The 24,618-nt window shown below is 49.2% G+C and overlaps 1 long non-coding RNA gene across 1 annotated transcript in view; it reads left to right on the top strand.

The window, feature by feature from the left end:
• The first annotated feature begins 3,959 nt into the window (after nt 1-3,959).
• The window catches only part of LOC107984245 (uncharacterized), a 29,949-nt gene continuing 9,290 nt past the window's right edge, over nt 3,960-24,618 (top strand). Inside the window, exon 1 of the long non-coding RNA XR_001747513.2 lies at nt 3,960-7,817. This is a non-coding gene — a long non-coding RNA (uncharacterized LOC107984245). The remainder of the gene's footprint in view (nt 7,818-24,618) is intronic.

Below are 24,618 nucleotides of genomic sequence, written 5' to 3'. Positions count from 1 at the left end.
CCTGCTCTCTGGGGCTGACCTGCCTTCCCACTGGGACCCCTCCCTCCCATCCAGGCCCATTGGCTGGCCCCCCGAGCAGGAGGGAAAACACCCTCCAGCCCATGGGATTTGTTGCTTTCTTTCCCTCTCCACAGGGACCTGACAAGCCTCCAGTCCAGCTCTGTTCCAAAGCCTTCCAGACTCCCTGATGTCTGCATTTGCATGGAATCCAATCTTCTACACAACCCCCTCACCTCCAGCCCAGCCCTTTCTTCAAACCCCCAGCCTAGGTAAATAGCAAATAACCCTCATTAACATTTCCTAGATGTTGTATTCTGCTCTTTTCTGTTGTATAAAACATGATACAAAAGACAGCCCAAAAAGAAACAAAACGCCCTGCTTGTGTGTTATTTACAGCAGGCCTCTTCTAATCTAATCATCTTTCTTCTTCCCCCCACCCTCTCCCCAGCCCACTGCAACTTTGCAGGGTTTTATGAAAATGAACACGTTGTTCATGCAGCCGGACTCCCTCCCTTGCAGGCCTCAGCATAAATAATTTATCTGAAAGCTGATTTGGTTGGCTACGCTTCCATAATTGAAGGCCGTCCCACACACTTTATTGGCGAGCACGGGGGCCCAGTCGCTCGGGTGCACTGACCCCGGATGGAGGGATTCAAAGGCCCACCATGGGCCCCTTCAAAGCCCTGGAGGCCCTTCTTCTTGATGTCCACTCCCGCCCTCTCCCTCTTCAGCAGGCCCAGCCCCCTCAGCCCTCAATCTGTCAGGAGACTGAGCTGCCAGGCTCTTCCGTCCATCCTTAGCTGGTTGCAGGCTGGTCCCTACCTGATGAACTCCCATCGCCCTGCACAGCCCTGCCTCTGCACCATCCCGCCTGTCTGGCATCCTCTGAGCCCAGGTGACCCCGGAGTGTCTCCCAGGGCTGGCCCATGGGGGAGTCTGGGACTAGCCCTGGGGCACAGGATAGGCCTGGAGACCTCCCATTTTAAACATTAAGGAGAGGCTGGAGTAAAGTGGTCTATGCCCTGTCTCATGCCCTTGAGCTTCAAGGGGTCCTATGCTCCTGGCAATGCCCCAGTGCCTTCTTGGCTCACAGATCATCTCCCTTGCAGACCACCAGCACCTCCTTGCCGCACTTCATTTAGTGGAGGACCTTGCTGATCTTGAGAACTTGCATATCAGCCCGTAGCACTGTGCACCATACACTGCCCCTCCTTCTGGCTGGGGACAAGTCCTCTGCTTGCCCACTCCACCCCATCTTATCTTGACTTCCCCAAAGACAAAAATCTCCAGGAATCCTCTTGCAGTTAGCCTGCATCATCAATTTTCTTCTCTCCTGGAATTTTTGTCAGGTATAAAGATGCAGATAGCATGGTGGCTAAAGCAGAACCTCAGAGCCATGTGACTGGGGTTCAAATCCTAGCTCTGCTCCTTAACTGCAGTGTGACCTTAGGCAAGTTACTTAACCTCTCTGTGCCTTAATTTCTTCATCTGTAAATTGGTAAGCAAAATAGTAACTAACTCATAGAGTGCTTGGTGGATTAAACGAGTTAATATATACAAGGTACTTAGAACAATGTCTATCCATAGAAAGTGTACAAAATGCTTCCTATCAATATTATGCTGAAAATAAAACTCTTTACCCCACCTCCCTCTCCAGCTATCATCCCGATTTTCCTGCTGCCCATTTGTAGCAAACTTCCTACAAAGGGATGTCTACATGCCCTGTTTACAATTGTTCTCCCCTGCTTCTCCCTTGAGCCCCCTCCCATCAGGCTTTCTCACCCTCAACACTGCTCCAAAGTACTTCTCATCAAGATCACAGTGGCCTTCATGGTGCACAGTGCCATACTCAGTTTTGAGTCCATTCTGTACCAAACCCGTAGCAGGTACTTGACACAGAGAATCAGTCTCCTCTTCATACATGGTCTTCACTTGGTCGATGACACTGCTCCCTCATGATGCTTCTCCTTCACCTTCTCTTTCTCCTCCTTCTCCCTGGCTTCTCATTCTCAGTCTCTTCTACTAGATATCCCTGACTTCCCGACCTCTACATGTTGGATGCCACAAGGGCTCAATGCTATGAACTCTCCACTCCCTGGGCCAGTGCTATTCAGTGGAGATACAACACGAGCCACTGATGTAACTTTGAATTGTCCAATAGCTACATTTAAAAAGTACCAATGAACAGGTAAAATTAATTTTAATAATAGATTTAATCTAACCCAATATAATCAAAATATTATCATTGCAACATGTAAGCAATATAAAAATTATCAATGGGATATTTTACTTTTTTTTTCTAAATCTTCAAAATCTGCTGTGCATGTTACCCTTTCATGCAACATGACCCCTGCAGACCAGCCATATTTCCAGTGCTCAGTAGCCAAGTGTGGCTGGTGGCTTCTAGATTGGACAAGACAGCCCTAGGGGATCCTCTCCATCCTCACTGTGTGAATGTCATCTGTATTACCAGGACACAGAAATCTTTTTCACCAGTCTGGAGCTCTCTTTTGAACTCCAGATTCTTGTATACATTTGGTGCCCCAAAGACACATCAAACTTCAAAGGGAATATCATGGGGTGGGCCGGGTTTGCAACTTCATATAGCATGACCAGGGAAGGACCCTGGGAGGAAATGGTATTTGAACAGGGATCTGAAGGCAGGGAGGAAATGCGCTCTGTAGCTGTCTTGGGGAAAGCCCAGTGGGCAGGTAAAAGGGCAAGTACACCCATCTTGAGCCGGGAGCAAGCCTGGCATGTCCCAAGAACAGGAGGGAGGGGGCTGAGCTGGGAGAGAGTGGCGAGGCGTTGACTCTTGGCCTGTGTGAGTCAGGGAAGTCATGGGAGTAAGGGTGGAGGAATGGCAAGTTCTGATGTCTATTCTAAAATGATGCTGTGGTTCAGGGTAAAGAAACAACCAGAGGGCCAAGAGTGGAAGCAGGGAGGTGAGGCAGGAGGCTGTTGCAGTGGCTCTGGGAGAGGTGGTGGAAGCGTGGACAATGCCGTGGAGGAAGGAAGACACCTACGCTTGGAGGCTGGATCTGTTTGTAAGATGCAGGCCACAGGGATTGGTGAAGAATTGGGTGTGGGCTTTGAGAGAACCAGAGGAGTCAGGGTGATTCTAGAGTCCTTAAAGGATGGTCAGGTTCCAGTAGCCTCTGACTGAGGAGGTAAGATGCAGAGGCCTGGCTGCCAGAGCCCCACATGAGATGACGCTGAGGAGCTAGCTGAGTTCCAACAACTCTGTGGTGTCAGCCAAGCCACATCACAGCTCCACCTCTCCCCTGCCCCATCCTGCCTCCCTCCCCGTTTCCCACAGGTGTTTGTCTCAAGGCATTCCTCTTAAGCGTCCTGCTTCATAAACTCCTTCTGAGAGTCTGCTTCCTGGAGAGCTCAACCTTCACCACTCACCCCCAAGATCCAACTCATAAATTCTCCTGGACACTGCGATGAGGCAGCTGGCTTTCTCCCTGGCACCAGCCCCAAGGGAGCCAGCCTTTGCCTATAATTGATTCCTGGCCCTGACCCCCTCCTCCTGCCAGAGGCCCATGCAGCCCAGAGGCTCCAGTGGCAATGACCATGTTGAGATGCTTAAATCCTGCCATCTTGGCTTTTTCCATTATTTTTTAAACCTTGGGGGCCATGGTATCCAAGGTCCATAGACACTGGGTGGCCAGTGATAAGAGGTCCCTGTCACTCTGCCCCAGGAACAACTGACACCAGGCCTGGGCAGCCCTTCTTCCCCCTACAGGGGCCCTTGCTCCCTTTTGTCTTGACAAGAGGCCCCACCTCATCCCAAGAGGTGCAGGAGGCCAGACTTTGCAGAGTAGCTGGCCAGAATCAAGAGACCACAATGAATTTGTTTCTAATGATCGCTCCTTTTTGCTCCACCTGAGATTGCCAGTAGAAGGGTCTGTTAAGACAAATCTGAGTGAGTCGTTGCATCTGGGAACCTGTACTGTCTCCTGAATGTTCTCAGGTGATAGCCCAAACCTGTGCTGAGAAAAGAAATAAAGACAAGAAAGTTAGACAGGGCCCTCACTGGACAGAGGATAACTGGCCAGCCCAACACTCCAGATTTCAATTTCCATTGAGACTAAAGGGCCATAGCGTAGGAGCAATAGGCAGCTGGGCCGGAGTGGCCTCAGTGAGTCAATGCAGGGATATTCACTGAGCATGTAGCTTGGGCCAGGGACTGCTTAAAAGGAAGCTGCTGGGGGAACACCGACCATGGTCCTCAGCAGAGCAGGAAGCTGGGATCCCAGGAGCCATGGCAAGCTCCAGATGAGAAGTGAGTACAAACTTGCAGAACAGACAAAGAGTGAGGAAGTGGAGGCTAGGTCAAAAAGCGGAGAGTAAAGCAGGCTTCTGTCCTTCAAGGCCCAGCCCAGAAGACCCTATGCCCAGTGATATAAGATCCTCATCACTCTGCCCCAGGAACAACTGGTATGATCCATGAGCAGTCCTGGGCAGGGCAAATACCTGGGCTTTGAGTACTGAATAAGGTGCGATGCACAGTCCCTAAGAATCATGATGACATCCTTAGAGTGTTATCTTAAGGTAGCCCTGTTTAGTCCTTGCCTCTTATCCACCCGCTACAAAGAGCAGTCAGTTTAAAAAATGGCTTGGCTCACAGATCAGGAACCCCTCAAGAGCAAAGACCTACCTCCCCCACTGCAGCCCAGCAACCTGTAGGGTTTTCCTGCAGTCGAACAAGTGTAGCTGGAATTGCATTCACCCACCTGTTCCTGAGTTCTCCTGGGACACAATGTTGGATTGGTGGGCACTAGTATATTCTTTTCACAAGTGCTGGAATATCACTATTTCAAACAGCTTAATGATCATTGTACATGTGCCCTGAGCAAGGCTGCATGAATAACTAAAATGTCAAATGTCTTTGTTTTAGCTGCGATTCTATCAACTCTGCAGGTCTCATAAGCATGAGCCACATGCCAATTAGAATCTCTGATGGTCAAGTATAAATGTCTTTGTTTCATAAAAATGAAAGAATGAGTTCATTATCACTTAACTCCCTCTAGAAGAAATAATCTTTTAAAAACTTAAGATCCATAAGGAGGAAAGATGGGTTGTTAAAGCAGGTCCTCCCTAAAGATTGCTTCCTTGCCTGTGAATAGAATGAATCCAATGGCATCATTTCCTAGAACCAAGTTGAATTTCCCACTGGAACCAGAATTCCAGAAAGCCCTGGACATCACTCTACATGTCAAGGCTGCAGACACACACACATCAATTCTGAAAGAGGGAGGATTCCAAGAGTGATGGTGCCTGCAGGGCCTTCTGAGATAAGATGAGGAGTCTTTCTGGTTTCCAAGGGGAGGAACCCAAGCTACAGTCTCACTGGCACCAAAGATTAGAGAGGTTAGTGATTGAGGACCCAGGGAGGCAGCTGCTCTCTGAAGACTCTTCCCTAGTGGAGCTATACCTCAGCTCAAAAAGGCAACCACAAATCTTGTGTCCAGCACAGCTCCAATTCAAGCAAATTTCATTCTCTTTCACCAAGGAAAGTCTATACACATACACATGTATATACACACATGTATGTATATATGTTTATATATGTGTGCATGCATACATACATACATATGCATGTGTATAAAATGGGATTTGAATTATAGACTTAGACCTGTCTTTTCATCAAAATAAATAAACAAACATGAATTTACCCATCAGAAAACTTCAGTTGTCAGGACCTGTGTCTGATATTTAGCTGGGGAAATTTCCCCTGTCACTGGGGTGGTGGATGTTGTCTCAGAGCTGAACACTGGGCTGGTGGGGTCATCGGAGGATGATGAGGATGAATCAAGGCTGTTCTCCCACTTTCTCCAGGGCTGTGCCTGGGACCATATGTGTATGTGTGGCTGAGAGGAGGCATGGGTCCCAAGACATGGGTCATCAGAGACTGAAGCTCTCCAGGGCAGCCTGAGAGATCTGGCAGGGCTCTGGGGGCGCCTCAGTTTTGTGAATCACCGCCATGTGGTGCCTTTGGAGTCAGCCAGCTCTGCCTCCTAACCCCATCCCCTCACTCACCAGATGTGTACCTGGGTCTCAATTTCCCCCATCTGTCATTGAGGACAGTCATACCGACCTCAGGGAGGGATCAGGTGAGATAAATGTGATGATGACCAAAATGCAAGACAATTACTGATCATGAGCAGATGAAGTCTAGAAAGGGGGAAATTGGTCCACAGAACACAGTGGGTCAATGAGGGACTTAGAACGAAAACTCGAGTCTTGGGTTCCCAGGCCAGACCTCCTTTCACTGCACCAGGGATTTCAAAGTGGGATCCACAGATGTACTGTCAGGGGCCCTTGAGTGATATGAGAGTCTTTTTTTATTCTGATATTTTCATTTTAAAAATTGAAAAATATCAGTGAGACCCTATTGGGGTTGTGTGTGGATGATCATATTATCACCAACTAATGCTTCAGGAATGCAGAGTTCACATTTGCATTTGGGTTTACTATCATGTTTTTGCAAAATGAAGGCCAAATGACTTCATGGACTGCTGTACAAACAAAGGTTTAGCAATTGTTCAAACAGAGATAAGTGGAGGGAGGATTGAGTCATCAAACAGAACAGGGGACACAGACATGCCACAAATAAGCTGCTCTGCATTGAAGCTGGTAGAATTGTAGTCACTGTTTTGCAAGCAGGTGCCTGAGTGAATGCCACCTTGGTTTGCAACAACTTGCAAGACAACACTAGCAGCTGGAAATGGTAAATGGTATATAGTCTTACTAAATGGTACATATTTCTATATATTTTAAATTATTATATTTTGAAGTGCTCTATTAAGTTGATCGCTTCATCAAAATTCTAGGTCTGTGTTTAGAAGTGTGTTCATTGTAATACATGAAAAATATAATAATATTGATAATAACTCTAATGATGGTCTAGCATGTCCAAACATCAAAATGATCTAGTTGATAACAAGCGGAACTTAAATGGGAATGTATCCTTCTATTATTAAACCCAACGTTGGTTGTTTTACTTTCAGCAAAACATCATCTGTCACATTAAATTAATGCCATTAATTTGAATTTTAATGGTTTTGTAGCTTTATTTGCATTTAATTTGTAATTGTGTTTTGGTTTTACAGCTGTGTAAGAGCTAAAAGCATAAGAGATTTATACTTACTTTTATGTTTGTATATATTTAAGTAACAATATGATCAAAATAATTCTTATCAACACTGGGGGTCTGCAATGATAGCTTTCCCTTTAGAAGGCATGTTTTAGTCAACTTTAGGAATCACTGAGACTGCGCCACAGCACACTGCTCAATGCACAAGAGGGATTGCATTTGAACAGTACTAGGTGGGATTGGATCCAGCCCAGTATGTTGTGGGAAGGGCATGTGGGGAAAAAATTCCCCTGGGAATTTAGGTCCAGGCTTTTCAAAGTGCTGGGTTACTTAGTCACCATCTCAGATGACTCAGGGACCCCAATCAGCTACCAATATCTTTTGGCTCTCTTTCTGCTGTTCCTTTACCAAACAATTTCGTGTAATTCGGTGATAAGCCACTGAGAGTTCAGACAGAGATTCTTAACCTGAATCCTATAACAAACTTCGCTGGAGGAGAAACCCACAGCCTTCACCAGAGTGTCACCCGCATGCTTCCAGCATCCTCAGAGGATGGGGCCAGCCCCAAAATGCTGTGGGGGCAAGGGCTGGTGTGTCCCTGGACCTGACTCTGCAGCAGGCACTTTTTTCCTTGCCTTCCACTCCCACGTAAAAGCCGGCAGAGGAAAGAGACTGGAAAAGGCTGGGTCACTTCCCTGAGATGCACAGCTGGGTAAGTAACTGAGCAGGAACTTGAACTTGGGTCCACAGGACTCCAGAGCCTGGGCTCTCTCTGGCCTAGTAGCTGTACGTGAAGGGAGAGGAAAACAGAGCCCATGCCCCTTGTGCTCAGGGAGTTTCCAATCTCTTACATCTAGGACTTGTTCTCCTAAGGGACTGGATAGGAGTGGGACTCCTTCCACTGAAACCCCAAAGCCCAGGACAATGGGTGTCAAATGCCCCTACCATCCAAGGGGTATAGCTACCAGGTTCCTTCCTCCTGGATTTGTTAAGAGGCTTCTACACTGCCTGCTCCTCACCTCCTCAGTCCACATCCACCCTGCTTAAGCAGAAGAAAGAGAATTGATGTGAATGTGGAGGAAACTTTACGTAAAATACTGTGACTCGGCTGCTCCGTGCACTCCTGTAAGCTACTAGCAGGGGCTCCAGAGAACCTCTTGCAGAGATTGGGGTGCCTGTACAGAGAGAAGACTCATGCTTCCTTCCCCAGTTGGAGGCCCATTGCACTGCAGAAACTCCAAGCCCACCATGAGGCACAGAAATTTCCAGAAGAGTTTATCACATGTCCCCTGGGTTGTGGGGGAAGGGGGTGGGGACTTAGAGTAGGAACTGAACCTGTCCCACCTTAGAACTCAGGACAGGAGGCTGGCCGGAGTGGGGTGAGGCCAAGGGCAGCTGCAGCAGCCTGCAGGCCCGCCTTTGCCCTGGAAAGAGAATGTGAGCTTCTCCAGGGCTGAAAAGAGGCCATAGAAGGCGAGCAGTTTCTGGCACTGTGATGGGGACCCACCCCGGGGGTCACAGAGGAGGGTCCACAGAACACCCAGCACTGGGGTACCTGCCTTGACAGAGACTTTGAAAGCCTCTCCTTGAACTGAGGTGGCAGCAGTGGCCATCCAAAAAGAGAGGGTCTGCTTTTCTCCAGCTCCTCACTTTGCCTGGCCCCGGGGAAAGCAGGACGAAGGTGGATGCATTCATTTCCTAGAGCTGCCGAACAAACCCTACAGACTCAGAGGCTTAAGACAATTGAATTTGTTGGCTCACAGTTCTAGAGACCAGAAGTCCTAAGTCAGGGTGTGGGCAGGGCCGCGCTTCCCCTAACGGGCCCAGGGGATGATCTTTCTGGCCCATTCAATCTCCCGGCTCAGAGATGCGTGCTCCAGTCCCACAGCTGGCTGCTCCCCACTCATCTCCAAGTTGTCTCCCTCTCTGCTTGTCGGTCTCCCTGTCCAAATTCCCCACCATCCACCCCCCCATTTTTTTGTTGTTTTTTTGTTTTTTGTTTTTGAGATGAAGTCTCACTCTGTAGCCCAGGCTGGAGTGCAGTGGCATGATCTTCACTCACTGCAACCTGCTCCTCCCAGGTTCAAGCGATTCTCCTGCCTCAGCCTCCTGAGTAGCTGGGGTTATAGGCACGTTCCACCACACCTGGCTAATTTTTGTACTGTTAGTAGAGATGGGGTTTCACCATGTTGGCCAGGCTGGTCTTGAACTCCTGACCTCGTGATCCACCTGTCTCAGCCTCCCAAAGTGCTGGGATTATAGGTGTGAGCCACCTCGCCCTGCCCAAATTTTCCCTTTTTATAAGGAAACATCATATTGGATTAGAGCCTCATTTTAATTGGATCACTTCTGTAAAGACTATTTCCAAATAAGGTCATACTCTGAGTCCCTGGGGGTTAGGACTTTAGCATCTGTTTTTGGGGAGGACATAAAGGAAGAGTAAGAAAGAACTGACCACAACCCATCCCTGGGCCACCGCAGGCCTCTGCCCACCAAGCTGCCGGGAGAGAGAAACTTTGAACTGGATGTCCGTGGAGGCTGTGCGTGGGCCGGATAGGACCTGTTTAATATCTGAGAGGAAAATACTTTCTATCCCTGCATGTGACAGGGAGGCTCTGGTACATGCCTGCAATGCCATCAGGAGGGTGGGGAAGATCTAGCCAGGCATGTTTGAAAGCATCCAAGGGAGAGAAATAAAGCCATTTCCTGTTCGTGCCCCGTCGAGTTCAGCCCATTCAATATATGGTTATGTATACAAGAGGCAGCTAGGGACTGAGGCAGCGTAGCATAACATCAAGTGAACTAAATCAACTCTGGGGGGAGAGAAAGTACCAAGACAGTCAGGGAGAGAAGACTCAGCGAGGGCCCCTGCAAGAGAGGCGTCTGGGTGGGCCTCCAAGGATGGGTAGATTCTGCCGAGTGGGCAGAGGGAGAAGGTGAGAGTGGACAGGTGGTGTGTGAGCAGAGCTGCAGAAGCCTGCCCCAGTGCCCAGCTGGAGACAGCCTGGATTCTATCCCGCGAAGGTCTACCACCCTCTTAAAGAACTTTTATGTCCCCCATCCTGGGCGGCGGATGCAGATTTTATGTGTGTCTGCAGGAGGCTAAAACTGTCTTCAAACACGAAATTATAATGATCAGATGTCTGTCTGAGGGATGGGAGCATTTCCTCTAGCTGAAAGAACACAGGCAGACAGTGCCAGAAGTGGAGTATAAATAACCCACTACCACTCCGCTCCTTCCCATTGCCGAGGCTCCTGGCCCCAAGTCTCTTTCTCCCACTTGGCAAGATCCCAGGTTGGTTTTAATGAACAGTTTTGCTTTCCTGGCTACACGCATCTAGGTTTTCCAGGATCTGGAAGATATACCATTCCTTTTCTTCTCTTCTGGCTTTTGAACAAAGCAGAGGCTCTCTGGGCTCTTACGATGGTGAAGAGAATAGAAAGGTGCCACTCTCCTGTCAGAAAGGAGAGGTCAGAAGGAAACTGCCCACTACAAAGAAGAGGCCCAGAGCCTGATGTTTTGCAAAGAGGTTCTTTCTCTGCCAGGCTTCCATCCTCATTTCTGAAGTCAGTGGGCCACGGGAAGTCAGTGATGAGGTGTCTGTAAATAGGGGACCCTTTGCAGAGACCATGCATTCTGCTGTGATAACACCCTAACCTATAAGAACAAATCTAGCCTCGTTTTCCAACCTGATGCACCTGTTCTCCCTCTTAAGTACACAGCCAAATTGCACACCATGTGCTGTTCACACCCACTACCCTCAAATGCCTCCAATGCCGGCACTGGCTTTTCTGCAAGATCCTTCTCCCCCCAGGTCCCTACCTCCAAAGCCTCATCCTTTCTTAAAGCCCAGGACACACACGCCCTTGCCATAAGCTGCCTCCCTGGACCCCCACAGACCCAGCATTATTTGTCTGTTCATCCTTCCCAGGGATTATTTTCTAATGAGCATCAGAGCCTTGCTTCCCAGAAGGGTGTTGAGGAAGCCAAGTGATGCTCGCCATACTTCAGAGAAAGGGCCAGTTACGACCAAATTAAGTTAGAGGATCCTGGATTCTACAGCCTTCTGGGAGAGTAAACAAGATACAGCATATTTACAGCTAAAGATTCCTACAATAATGAAACATGCTCGACCTCCTTTGACTCAGCATTTCCCAGGCTCTCTGACCACAGAATCCTTTGTTCCCATAACATCTATTAATCGTCCCCAGGCGTGGTGGGTGGTGTCTCAGGGACCCACTTTTGAAAAGCTCCATGAGGCTCTGGTGTGCAGCACATCCACCCTCCCCTGGCCGGTCCTTGGGGTGCAGGTAGGGGTGGATCCAGGTCTTACATCTGGTCTGATTGGCCTTTTCCTTGGCACCATGACCTGTATGTTGCTGATGACAGCAGTGACTGGGGTCACTCTCACTCACTCATGCAGAACAGACTTGGGGAGATGGCAGATTGTGTGCTGACATACAAAGAAGACACGAGCTCACCCTCTGTGATTTAAACACACTCCCCATTAACCCACTGCGTGTCTCTTCCCTTCTCCAAAATGGGAGGGATGCAGTGAACTTCTCCAGGGGGAAGACAGACTTTAGTAGCCACACAAAGCCTCCCAGACAATGAGGTATATTGGGAATCTTGTGGGCTTTGGGGGCAGACAGAGGAGGTCCTACTTTCTTATTTCAGTGGGTGATATGGACAAACTACTTCTCCCCTAAGCCTGGCACAAGAGGAAGCCAAAACACTGTGGTTCCGAATCCTGTCTCATGGCAGAATTCCTTTTGGTGACCCACAGCGCATACATTTGGGTCTTCCATATTCCCCCTAGAGTCTTGCTTAAATTAGTAACAGATTTGGCAGGAGCAAGGCTGATTGGAGGGCTCCATGGCAGGGGTCTTGGTGGCTTTCTAGGGAGCTCCTTCTGTTTGTGGAGCCTGCTGGAATGGATAGATCAGAGCTGTGGTGGGAGGATGTCTGAGCCTTCACTAGGAGGGCTGGCCTGGCAGGCTGCCCTGCTGGGGGTGTCCCACAACCCTGGGATGGAGACCTGGAGGACACCTTGGCTCTGTTCCTTGATCTCTGGGCCTGGCATGGCTCTTCCCCTGAAGCCTCTGCCTCTGTCTTTGTACACACAGAATTTTAGCTAGGTCCTCCCTTTCTCACCAAGGCCCATATTCCTATAGGTAGGTCCTCCCTTTCTCACCAAGGCCCATATTCCTAAAGAGCCCGGAGGTCTGTCTAACTACCTGGGGGAAGGGATGGAGCTGCAGGAAGCAGAGAAACTAGACATGTCTTTCCAGAAAGCCATCCCTACTGGGACTGCTGGTCTCTGATAAAGGATGTGGAGGATACACAGTGAGTAACAGCAAGTGTCCCAGCTCCCATGTCTGGGTTTCCCTGAGGATGATCAGTGCAAGGGAATTGGAAGAAGGGATATAAATGGAGTTGTCAGTGTGTCCCCGAGAGACGAGCCCTGCACACCCTCTCCAGGAAGGCCCCATGACTCCCAAATAGATTGGTGAAATCAATAAGGGAAAGGCCCATACCCCTACAGCCCGGAAAGAGCTAGAGAGGAGACAAAGTTCTGGAAAAGGAGATGCAGGATATTTCTAGGCAGAAGGGGCAGCTCAGGCGGCTTCGCAGCATTTCATGCCCCAGTGGGTAGCTAAGGCAGCAGAAGGACTGTGTGGGTGGCCAAGCCTGGTGTGGAGGGGCAGAGAATGCTCCTAGGTATCAGGGGACTTACAGAAGTGTGAGGAGTGCCCTGCATCACCTACAGGATCACACCTGAGGGCCAGGTGCCTGAAGGACATGCCTGTGGAAACCAGGACACACAAGGACCCAGCACCCCACCCACCCCTACACTTGTATAGCTCCCAGAACTCACATATCTGAGCAAGGAGAGGTCATTCATGTACAGGGTCCTGGGTCTAGCACCTTGGTGGAATGGGGACCAGAAACAGAAATTGAATTGTATAGGAAAAGTGAGAAAATTCCATTTTTCTTGCACACCTGAGCTTTCGATCAACATTCTCAGCCACTGAACCTAGTGCAGTTTCAGGACATGTTAACATGACTGTCTAAAATACTCTCATCCAGAACAAATCTGCTGGAGACCCTCTGGGACCATGGAGTATTCTCTCCATCATCTTCTACCTCATTTTGCACTGGAAACTAACTTCACCCTCTGAGTCCCTGAGGCTTGGGGCTTTGGGGCTTTGTCCTTGATATTAAGAATTAAGTGAGATGCCATATAACATAAAGCTCTTAGTAACGTGCTGGTATAGATTAAGCAAGCCCTCAATATGTGGGGCTCTTGTTTTTATTATACCCCTTTCTGTCTCTCCCTTCTCCTTGGAATGCCTCTGGCTCCTACCCTTCCCCCTACCCTCCCAAAACGGGCCACCACTAGTCATTTCAGTTTGTCCTTGGCAGGTGGTAACTAACACTTCACATTTCTCCTGGCCATCATTTTCCACTGAGAACAAGTCAGGGTCATTATACTCCCCATCCACCATGCTGGGCATCAGGGAAGAAGAGGAAACAGTAAACAGATGGGGGGAGTGAGTCCCCCAGGCCCACTCAGAGATGGAGCTGGGTCTGCCTCTGGTCACACATTGGAGGACACCAGAGCTAGAAGGGCTTTCAGACAAAAGGGTACTCGTTTTGCGGATGGGGAAAGACAGCCCAGAAGGGATGGGGAGTGCCCCAGGCCTCACTCTGAGTGAAAAGCAGAGCCCAGGCTAGAAGCCAGGCCTGGCCCGCCTAGCCCATTGCTTCCTCCTGAGGCTGGACTCGGTGCACAGGAGGCTCACGGAGGAGGAGTGGCAGGATTACTGACTCCTTATGCCTAATGAGGGGATCGCTCACTTCCTTGGATCGAGTCCCAAAGGGGTGGTCCTGGGAAGTCAGGAGGCGGCAAAGCAGCCAGATAATCCCTCTGCGTGCTCCCTGGAGAACAGCACCGAGCTAATGGACTCAACTCTGCCTCCTTCCCTGGGCCCTGCAGAGCAGCAGCCAAATCCCTGCAGCTGCCTGACAGCTGGTAGAGCCCTGGAGACCTGATGAAGCCTGATCAGGTGGGGAGGCAGGAGGGATATGGTCCCTGTCTCACCTGCAGATCCCGACATGGGATATCCTGACCAAGAGGGATGGCTCACACTTTAATTAGTGCCACTTGTGGGCTTGCCCTGTGCCAGGCACAGGGGGCTACAGGGAAGAAGGAGAGAGGGCCCTGTCCTCAGAAGCCCACAGTCTGCTCTGACCCCCATCCAGGAGCCCCTGGTTTTGTGGATGGCTGCACCTCAGCCATTCCCCTTCCTGCTCCTTCTCTTCACCTTCCCATCCTATCCATGCACAAGTCCTAACCATCTGACTGCCTCAGTGTCCTTGCTGCCATCTGCACACTCAAGGCCATAGTATCTATTGCCTGCAGGTAAGAGCCTGTCTGCCCCTGGCCCTGCTTATTCTCTCCTGCACACACCTTTCTTTGCCAGGTGGCCAGAAATCTGACACCCAGGTGATATCTCTCCTGCATCATCACAGTTACTCTAATGAGCCCTAATCACCCGCCTTTGTGGTGGTGGTAGAGCCCACATGGGCTTGTTCCAGGCGTGAGGGCAGCACATCCTCCCCCTAACCCTCTGCTTCACTCCCTATCTCCACTGGGTGTTGCTGACTTGGTTTCAGATCAAGGCCGGGGATCTGGCTGCTGCCTCCTTCCGCTGATAGTTTTTGCGACAGTGACAGATCCTGCTCAGGCCAACTGTGAGCTTGATAATGCAACAGAAATTTGAATGCAGAAGCTCGTCACTACAGGGCAGCAAGAAATTGCTGCACAGGTGATAGGTAGAACCTTGAATGCTGATGCAGTCTAAGGCATAAGAGGCAGTGATGCGCAATGGAATACTACACAACAATGAGGAGAAAGAGCACAGCTACACTCAACAGTGTGGCGACGTCTCACAACTTAATACTGAGAGAAGCCAGATGCAAAGGCATCCCGAGGTCTGTGGAATGCTGGACATGTTCTGTTTCTTGATTACAGTACTGGTCACACAACTGTATTCCCTTTGGGAAATTCCATCAAACTGTACACTTACTATTCATGACCTCTTCTGTATGTATATTACACTTCAACTGAAAGTTTACAGAAAACAGCGTTGAGTCTGCAGCACCCAGCTCTTTCTGGCCTGGCGGATCTCCCACTTTGTGCAGGAGTGGTTGAGTCCTGAACTTCAGATACACTTTGAAAGTCAAGATGTACAGAGACCCATATTCACTGGCTTGCAGCCCTGCTTGTTTGCTGTTCAATAGCAAATTGAATTGGGAGCAACCACAAACCAAGTTATTGTCACTAGTCCTTTAATCTAGACTAGACCTGATCATCTGGTTCCACTCACCAACAGGTCAGCCTTGAGACCTCAAGGGCAGGACCACTTCCCATCTATGAGGACAAAGGGAGTGCAACTCAGCTCCTCTGTAACCGTCAAACCAAGGAACTGCATTCATCACCCAGTATCTTGTGCTCAGTCTTGTATAAAACAGGATCTATCAGAACCCCTTCCACTTTAATAAATGAGGAAACTGAGGCTAAAGAGGGAAGGAGCTTGCCCATGGTCCTTTTGTAACTGTCATCCCAGCGGCCTCCACTGTGACCAGTACAATAGCTCTTCAATAATTGCGAGTGGGTTTATTTAGAGGATTCCTTCTTTTAAAAGAAGACTTCTTAACAGCCAAAGCTTAAAGCGAAAGAGGGTTCTCATCAGGTGGATTTGGGCACACTGGAAAAGCGAGGTGGGCTTTAAGTTGGGGGGAGGTTCTCTGCTGCTTCCAAGAGGATCACAATGTGCTGGCAGCCCTCAAGCCCTCTCTGCAAGAGGCAGGCACAGACGTTAGTAGTCCCAGAATATGTTCACAAAGCTGTTCAATACAGGGCCGTGCTGTCAGAGGGAAGGAAAGGCTGTCCCTTCTTGGCCCTGTGTTGCAGCCCCAGTGGCCTCTAGAGAGACACCTTTGCAGTAACCATTCAGGGACTGCTGGTTGGTGCAATTATTGGATTGTAGCTGCATCTGGCTGGAGGTGGCAGTGGGGAGAAGGGGAGTGCTTTGCTTGTTACCCTTCCAAAGCAAAGGAGGCTCAATGGCCTCTCTCCTTAGCTCATCCTTTCTCATCTCTCACTATTCATCCATCCACATCCTATGCATTCTGCTTCATCCATCAGGCCACACTCATCCTTCATTACTTCTTTATTCATTCATTTATTCACTTGCTTACTTACCCCTTAATTTACTCCTTCACCCCTTGATTCTCTCTTCCTTCATTATCTTCTCCATTCTTTCAGTCATTCCATTGATCCATCTCTTTTTCCCGTCATTCATTCATTTTCCTTTTCATATACTGTGGTAGGCATTAGCACTGTTCAAGTATTTTCAGCTCTCCTCCTACTATGCGGTGGCTGATTTTACTTCCTGGACCCCTTCCTGGACTCTCACTTCCTGGATCCTGGGGTCACATGATCAGATCTGGCCAATGGTCACCAGTAAAGTTGACACACATCTCTTCTGGACTAGAGCCTTTAATTAACAGTGTGAGATCCTCCAGGTTATCTTTTTCCTCTGTCATAGTGACCAGCAAAATTCTAGACAGTGGGTTCTCTAAAAAAAGCCTGGATTCCCGAATGAGGAGTGCCTGCGGCCGAGTTCCCAGCCAACCACAGCAGCCATAGAGGCGTCCCTCTCAGAGGCTCCTTCCAAAGAGCCTCCCTCTAGGCAGAGCTGACCCACGGCCACCAGCTATTCCCTGTGGATCTCCCTCTGTCCTCCTCCCAGGCCACACTGGCTTCCCTTGGCTGTTCCATGCAAATGGCTGGTATCCATGACTTGAATATTAGAACTCTCAGTCCTGCTTGATGTGGGATTCTGCTAATGAGCAACTTTGGTTTAGGGACTTGCCATCAGCCTGGCCCAGGACTCCGCAGAACCATGCTGCAATCCCAGGCTCTTCCTTCCCCGTCTTTCCTTCTCTCTCCTTTCCCAGGTGTCAGACCTGCACTGTGGCTAAAGCTTCCCCCTGCCTCTCCTGCTCCCCCACCCTTTATCCTTCACAGGCATCTCCCCTAATAAAGCCATAGCTACTCCCATGTGGGAGCCTGTTTCTCAGACGACCTAACCTGGCACCCAAGTCCCAAAGGACAGTCAGCACAAGAACAAACTAACCCTTTGCCATTTGGTTTTGCCACAGTATAACCTAGCCTCACTCCCCCATTCATTTTTTCATCCAGCTACTCAACCTATACTCACCAGCAGCTGTTTGTCCCCACCTGTCACCTATTCATGACTCCAGTCCCGCACCTGCACACACCCGTCACCTGCACAGCTCTGGCCCTTTGTGCAGAGGCTCCCTTGGCAGCCCAGGTTCCTGACCCATGTGAGCCCCTATGTCTGCTCCACCCCGAACCTTTTCTGATGTCTATGGGACTATGTAGAAGGTGGAGTGCATGCCTGACCCAGCTGATTGGAGTGCAGGACATCAATCCTCCCAGAAAAAAACCACCCAAGTGCAAACTTAAGCAATGCCAACCCAGTCCTGGAAAGAAAGGGGCCCTGCCTCATGCTGGAGATGGAACAAACAGATGTTGGCACAGACAGCCGAGCAGAGTTTCAGAAATAAGACACAGCAGGAATCAATACCATTAAATCAGTCCCTCATTCCCCTCTTCCTCCCTCTAAGGGGTGGGCTCATTCACAGTTCCACCACACACCTCTGGCTTCATTTCCCTCCTCATCAGCCCATGAGGTGAGCCTTTTATAAGATGGAGTATTTGGGCATCCAGCCATCTTCCCAAGACTCATGGGACCTCACTCCCCACTCTTTCTGCCTCCCTTTCCTGGGGATGCTAATTGAGGTTGGAAAGAGGATCAAAGAATCAGATGATTGACTCCCCTTACCCCAATCCGCCCTCCACAGGGCCTCCAGAGTGTCCCCCTAAAAGATCCATTCATATCCCATCAAGAACCCTTAATAGCTCTCATCACCTTAAGAAGAGAGCTTGAACTGCTCAGCATATTTTATGGCCTTCCTCAGCCTAACTCCAGCAAGCTCACCTCCTGCCACATCCCCTTGCCTCCCCTGACACACACACACACACACACACACACACACACACACTCCTGTCTATGCATATCCAATTTCCCTGGCTGCTTTCTTGTACTGAGGGAGCCATGAACTTGATTGACCTTCACTCTTTTGACTTGTTTGTTTCTTCCATCTGCCTGAAGCACCTTCCTTGCTGCTTCTCCACCTGACAAAGCCCCCCTTGTTTCCAAGAACACCGTTCAAAGGCTGACTTGCTTGTGACCTTTACTCAGCTATCCTAAAACAAGTGCATGGGTCTCCAGCTTCTGTGAGGTTTGGTTAATGCTGGAACAATCCGTCATTTACCTACCTGGCTCCCTCATGGACAAGGGTGTTGAGAAAGAGCTTTCGACTTGACGTCAGCTGAATTTGGCATTGAGTCACAGTCCTGTCACCTTGAGAAAGTTACTCAGCCTCTTTGAGTCTCTGTTTCTGCATATATAAAGTAAAAATACTACTACTAACTGACTCATAGAATGATCGTGAGGACTCAGAAAAAATAAGCACTATGATCCTGTTTTGTTCCTATATTTAAGTATGAGTGTCCCTAGTCATAGGAAATGGTCTGGAAGAAAATCCAAGCACTAAACATGGTTGTCTCTGAGTGGGTGAGATTTATGGGGATCATTTTTCTGTCTTTGTTTTCCTTGGCCATGTTTTCTGTATATATATTTTAAATAATAAGCATGAGTAGCTTTCATCATGAGAAAAAAATAAATGTATTTCAGGCAGGAAAAATGAGCAAGTGAACAAGCCTGGCTTGTAGCAGGCTACCTGGCTCCGGGAGGGCTATGGGCTTGTCTTTGTGTCTTTGTGCATCTTCAGCACCTGAGGCTGGCACCTGGTGGCTGGTACCCAGTGGCTTTGATGAACTCATCTGGTCCAACTCCCTCATTTAGGAGATGGGGAGCCTAAGAACAGAGAGGCTAGCCCAAAGCCACATATGAAATGGGTCTCTTCGGAGGGGCCAAACCCAGACCTCCAGCCTCCCAGGCCACACTCTGTCCCTCTGGTGGGAGACCAGGTGGAGAGAGGAGATTGCCTGGAGCCCATCGGCTCCTTTCCTTCTGCATCCTCTGCTCCCCAGGTTGAGTACCAGGCCTCAGCCCCATGCCCTGGCTCTGCCCATCCTGCTCCAGGTTGGATGGGTACTCGCTCTAGAATGGTGATGACCATTGACCCTGAATTTTATGGCAAATATCGTAAGATCCATCAAGGTATATGGGCAAATCCATGGGGGAAAAATTGCTGAGACATGTTCAGGCTAGTGTCTTAGGATTGGAGACTCCAGAGAAGGTAATGCCACCACATCACAGGGCAGGACAAGAGGGAATCCAACTCCCAGACTCAGCCCTGCTTTCTCATGCCACTGGAACTCTTCCTCTTCACCCTCCTCCTCCTCCCTTCTCCTTCTCCTCCTTCTCGTCTTCATGTTTGGATTACCCTCAGTAGGACTCATTTAAAATAAAAGCCAATTTCACAAAAATTACAGGACATTCCACACTTGAAAGTAACATTGAATTTTCAAGGGCAGCAGAACAGGCTCTCCAGTTTCATTGAATCAGGAACAGTGAGGAGCTCTCACTCCCCCTTTCTTGACAAAATCCTAATAAAACATCAAGAATTCCTGGCATTCAGGAGGCTAGGATCTGCTTGGATCCTCTACGTTTTCAACCCTAAGGAAATGGATCCGTTTTAATACCAAGAACCATCCTCCTGCCACACCATTGACCCCATATAATTGACAGTACTGGGATGGGGTGGATAGTGCTGGAGCAGGTGGGGAAGGGTTGCCCTGGCACCTGGTCTTTGGGGGACCATGAAGCCACACACTTGGGCATCACATATAACCATTCCCCAGTGACCCCTTGAATTACATCTCGAATGTAGCTAAACTGAGTTCTAATATCCAGAGGCAGGGGGATGACCAGGGTCCACCCACAGCACTAGTGGCGCCTTGGATTCCTTCTGGTATCCTCAACTTGTCCAGGTCAGCACTGGACAGCATTTGACCCACAGCCCAAAAGAAAGAACCAGGGAGCCTGGGCAAGCTTCCCTTCTGATGCTCTCTGAAGCAGAAAGCATTTTAGATAGGGTCTTTCTCTTTCTCTGGGAAAAAAAGAGATGAGAAGGGAAAGGCAGTTGCAAAGAAAGAGCATGAATTTATGCAAGAAGATTTGTTATGGGCTGAACTGTGTCCCCGTAAATTCATATGTTAAAGCCCTAATGCTCAGTACTATATTTGGACATAGAGACTTTAAAGAATTCATGAAGTCAAGATGATGCCATTAGGGTGAGCCCTAATTCAGTATGATTGGCATCAGTATAAAAAGTGGAGACCAGGGGCTGCGCATGGTGTCTCACACCTGTAATCCCACCACTTTGGGAGGCCGAGGCAGGTGGATCACCTGAGGTCAAGAGTTTGAGACCAGCCTGGCCAACATGGTGAAACCCCATCTCTACAAAAATATAAAATTAGCTGGGTGTGGTGGTGCACGTCTATAATCCCAGCTACTCAGGAGAATGAGGCAGGAGAATCACTTGAACCCAGGAGATTGAGGATGCAGTGAGCCAAGATCGCACCATCGCACTCCAGCCTGGGCAAAAAGAGTGAAACTCCATCTAAAAAGAGAGAAGATGATGGAAAGATGCAGGGGGAACACAGCCACCTGGGAGCCAAGGAGAGAGGCCTTGGAAAAAGTCAGCCCTGCCAACTCCTTGATCTTGGACTTCCAGCCTCCAGAACTGCAAGAAAATAAATTTCTGTCATTTAAGCCACCCAGTCTGTGGTATTATTACAGCAGCCCAAGCTAACACAAGGTCTGAAATTCACTGTCATTTACTTAGGGACACATTATAACTCCATCAGCACTTCGGCGGGCATTTTTCCCTTAATGGACCCCTTCCCCCATAAATATGTAATTCTTATTTTAAAACTGCATTGTTGTAAAGACGAATACATAAATATGATATATTGAAAGATTTTCTTCAACCTGAAAGCTTTTTTTTCTTCTGATTTTAAAAGAAATAAAAACATTTTTTAGAGTACCTGCAAGTATTCTGGGCAGTGGGCACCGTGCCCACTGTGCCTGATGGTGCAGTTATCCCTGCACATGCCTTGCCGGGCTCCCATTGCCAAATGCACACCACTGAGCCCGGCAGTTCTGAGGGTCCAGAGCTGAGCTGAGCTCTCGTGCAAAGGTGCCTGGCCTGGTCGGGGTGTCAGCATCAGCCTCTAAATCTTGGCTGAGAAAATAAAATGCATTCCGCCTCCAAGGCTGTACTTCTCTGCCTGCCTCCTGCTTCCTCACCAGTGACCCAGAGTTTGAGAAGCATGCCTTGTGGGTCTGCCTGACTGCTCTCTGATGGTTTCAAAGGGCTTTTTCTCCTGGGTCATGGCAGGCAAAGTCAACAGGGAGAACAAACTCCTGCCTTCGCAGGCGGTCTCCTCCGTTCCTCTGCCCTGACCCCATCTGGCTCTCCCACAAATCTCCAGGGATTCCACAGCATAGAGAGGAGGCCCCAGTCCTTCCTGCAAAAACGCAATACTGGTCAATATCATTACTTTGGAAATATTTTTTCCTGCCACAAAAACTGTTCTTCCAATGAAATACTCTGTGGGAACCCAGTGGATAAAAAGGATGAGCAGAAAGCTGTCCTGGTTGAATCAAGGGCAGCAGCTAGGACCCTCCTCACCCCGACACATAACCTACAGTTCCTCTTCAGAAACCAATGGTCGCCAGGGGACACTTTTGGAAAATCACAGGGCGGATACTCTCTGGGCTCCAAAGTAGAGAAGGATGGCCTAAATCATGCAGAAAGTGGTCAACAGAGCTCTGTCCTCCTCCTGGGTCAGGGAGGCCAAGAATGGGGGATGAGAGGAGGCATGACCAGGAGCCAAGGAAAGATACACAGAGTACTGCCTTGTTGGGTGGCAGGACTGACAACAGCAACAGTAGGGCCCCGTCCTAGGAGCTACAGAGGGACTGAGCCCAAAAGTACACAGTGCTCTTGAACACAGCAATCCCACACACACGGTGGCACTGGACACACAGTCACAGGCACAGTGTCATAGACGCAGTGGTCAGGGACACAGAGACCACAAACACAGAGGCCACAGACACAGCAGTCATGGGCACAGCGGTCACAGACACGGCGGTCACAGACACAGTGGTCAAGGACACAGCAGTCACGGGCATAGTGGTCACAGAGTGGTCATGGACACAGCAATCAGACACACAGTGGTCATGGACACAGTAGTCACAGACATAGCAGTCATGGACACAGTGGTCATGGGCACAGCAGTCACCAACACAGCAGTCAGGGACATAGTGGTCAGGGACACGGTGGTCATAGACACAGTGATCACACACACAGCAGTCAGGGACACAGTGGTCACAGGCACGGCCATCATGCACACACAGCAGTCATGCACTTTGGTCGTGTAAAGCCTACAGGGGGGCTCCTGCTGAATCCATTAGCAGCCAGGCCCCACTCCTCCATGGGGGCTTTCTGGCAGCTAATCCCTGCGTGGCTGGAACATGACATCATTGCTTCCTCTGCCTGTGGGCTGCCCAGGTACATCTGGCTTTGGTTAGTCTTCCCCATTGAATAGAAACATATGTGGGCCCTGGCACTCTGCTGAGGTGGGCGTCTGTGTGTACGGGCTTCTGGGGTGGGTAGGGGATGAGGGGCCGTGAGGAGGGATCTAAGGCGTCCTTTCAAAACTGTGTTTTTCGGCCAGGTGCAGTTGCTCACACTTGTAATCCCAGCACTTTGGGGAGGCCGAGGAGGGCAGATCACGAGGTCAGGAGTTCAAGACCAGCCTGGCCAAGATGGTGAAACCCAGTCTCTACTAAAAACTCAAAACTTAGCTGGGTGTGGTGGCACGTGCCTGTAGTCCCAGCTACTCAGGAGGCTGAGGCAAGAGAATCACTTGAACCCAGGAAGTGGAGGTTGCAGTGAGCTGAGATCGCACCAGTGTACTCCAGCCTGGGTGACAGAGTGAGACTCTATCTCAAAAAAAAAAAAAAAAAAATGTGGTTTTTGGCACACAAATGTTCTGTGAGGTATAATTAGGTTCTACAGAAAAAAAAGGTTTTCTCAGTTAAGTAAATTTGGCAAACTGTACTGAACCAAAGTAAACAGAGGATTGTGGGATTTCTCAGAGACTTTAATAGGTGACCCTAATGGAGAATAGAAAGTGTGGTGTTCCCAAACATTCTTTGCAGTGTATCAGGAAGGGTCCTTTTTGCTGCTAGTGAGCAGGAAATCCAGCTCTAAATAGGCTACATTTTCCAGGACAGCATTAGCTTACAAAATAGCAAGTCCAGAGATGGGTATTTCCAGGCTTCAGCAGCCAAACAATGCCACCAAAGCCACAGCCCCTCCATCCCCTTCACCATCCAGTGTCTTCTCCTGGGGACAGTGGTCCTCTGGGTCCAAGAGGGCAGCTGCGGGTCCAGGTTCCTACGCAGACTCTGCAACAGCCCCCAGCAGAAGGCATCCTCCCAGACAGCTTTGATAGGGTGAGGAGACCCTTTTCTAGGAATCTCTCAAAAGACTTCTCTCCACATTTCATCAGCCGGAATTGCATCACAGTCTCTTACCTAAACAGATGATTTACGGCTTCAAGTCCACTCTATCCCAAACTAAGGGATGAGGCACCCCAGATTGCCACACCAAATTCAGGGGTGCCAGGGGATATTTTAAGCTTTCAAGGAAAACTCAGTAATGCTGGACATCTGTTGGACACCACTTGAACTACTTTCTTTTTATATATGTATGTTTTTTGAGACAGTCTCGCTCTGTCGCCAGGCTGGAGTGCAGTGGTATGATCTCGGCTCACTGCAATCTCCACCTCCCGGATTCAAGCAATTCCCTTCCCTCAGCCTCCCAAGTAGCTGGGACTACAGGTACGTACCACCATGCCCAGCTTATTTTTTTGTATTTTAGTAGAGACGGGGGTTTCACCATATTGGCCAGGATGGTCTCAACCTCCTGACCTCGTGATCTGCTCACCTTGGCCTTCCAAAGTGCTGGGATTACAGGCATGAGCCACTGCACCCAGCCCACTTGAACTACTTTTTAGCTCAGTTTATTCATGGTTTCAACATTAATCATGCTACAGACATTTGATGATATCGTATCTTTGAGAAGTTTTAGTGATTGCTGAAATAAAACAAGTATGGAATGAAAATCAGTGTGGAATGTGAAATGGGGGTGCTGGTGTCCAATCCAAACACACAGTGTGAGAAGTTGTGCAGTGCCCAACAGGTGCATCCATTCCACTAGTAAGTGATTATAGTAGAATAAACTAGATCTGTTGTACAACATGGTGACGTAGTTCATAACAACGTATTATATACTCGAAAGTTTCTAAGAG

Source organism: Homo sapiens, chromosome 10, assembly GCF_000001405.40.
Source record: "Homo sapiens chromosome 10, GRCh38.p14 Primary Assembly".
Taxonomy (NCBI): Eukaryota; Metazoa; Chordata; class Mammalia; order Primates; family Hominidae; genus Homo; species Homo sapiens.
The sequence above is the reverse complement of the archived record's forward strand: the minus strand, read 5'-3'. Positions and strand labels throughout refer to the sequence as shown.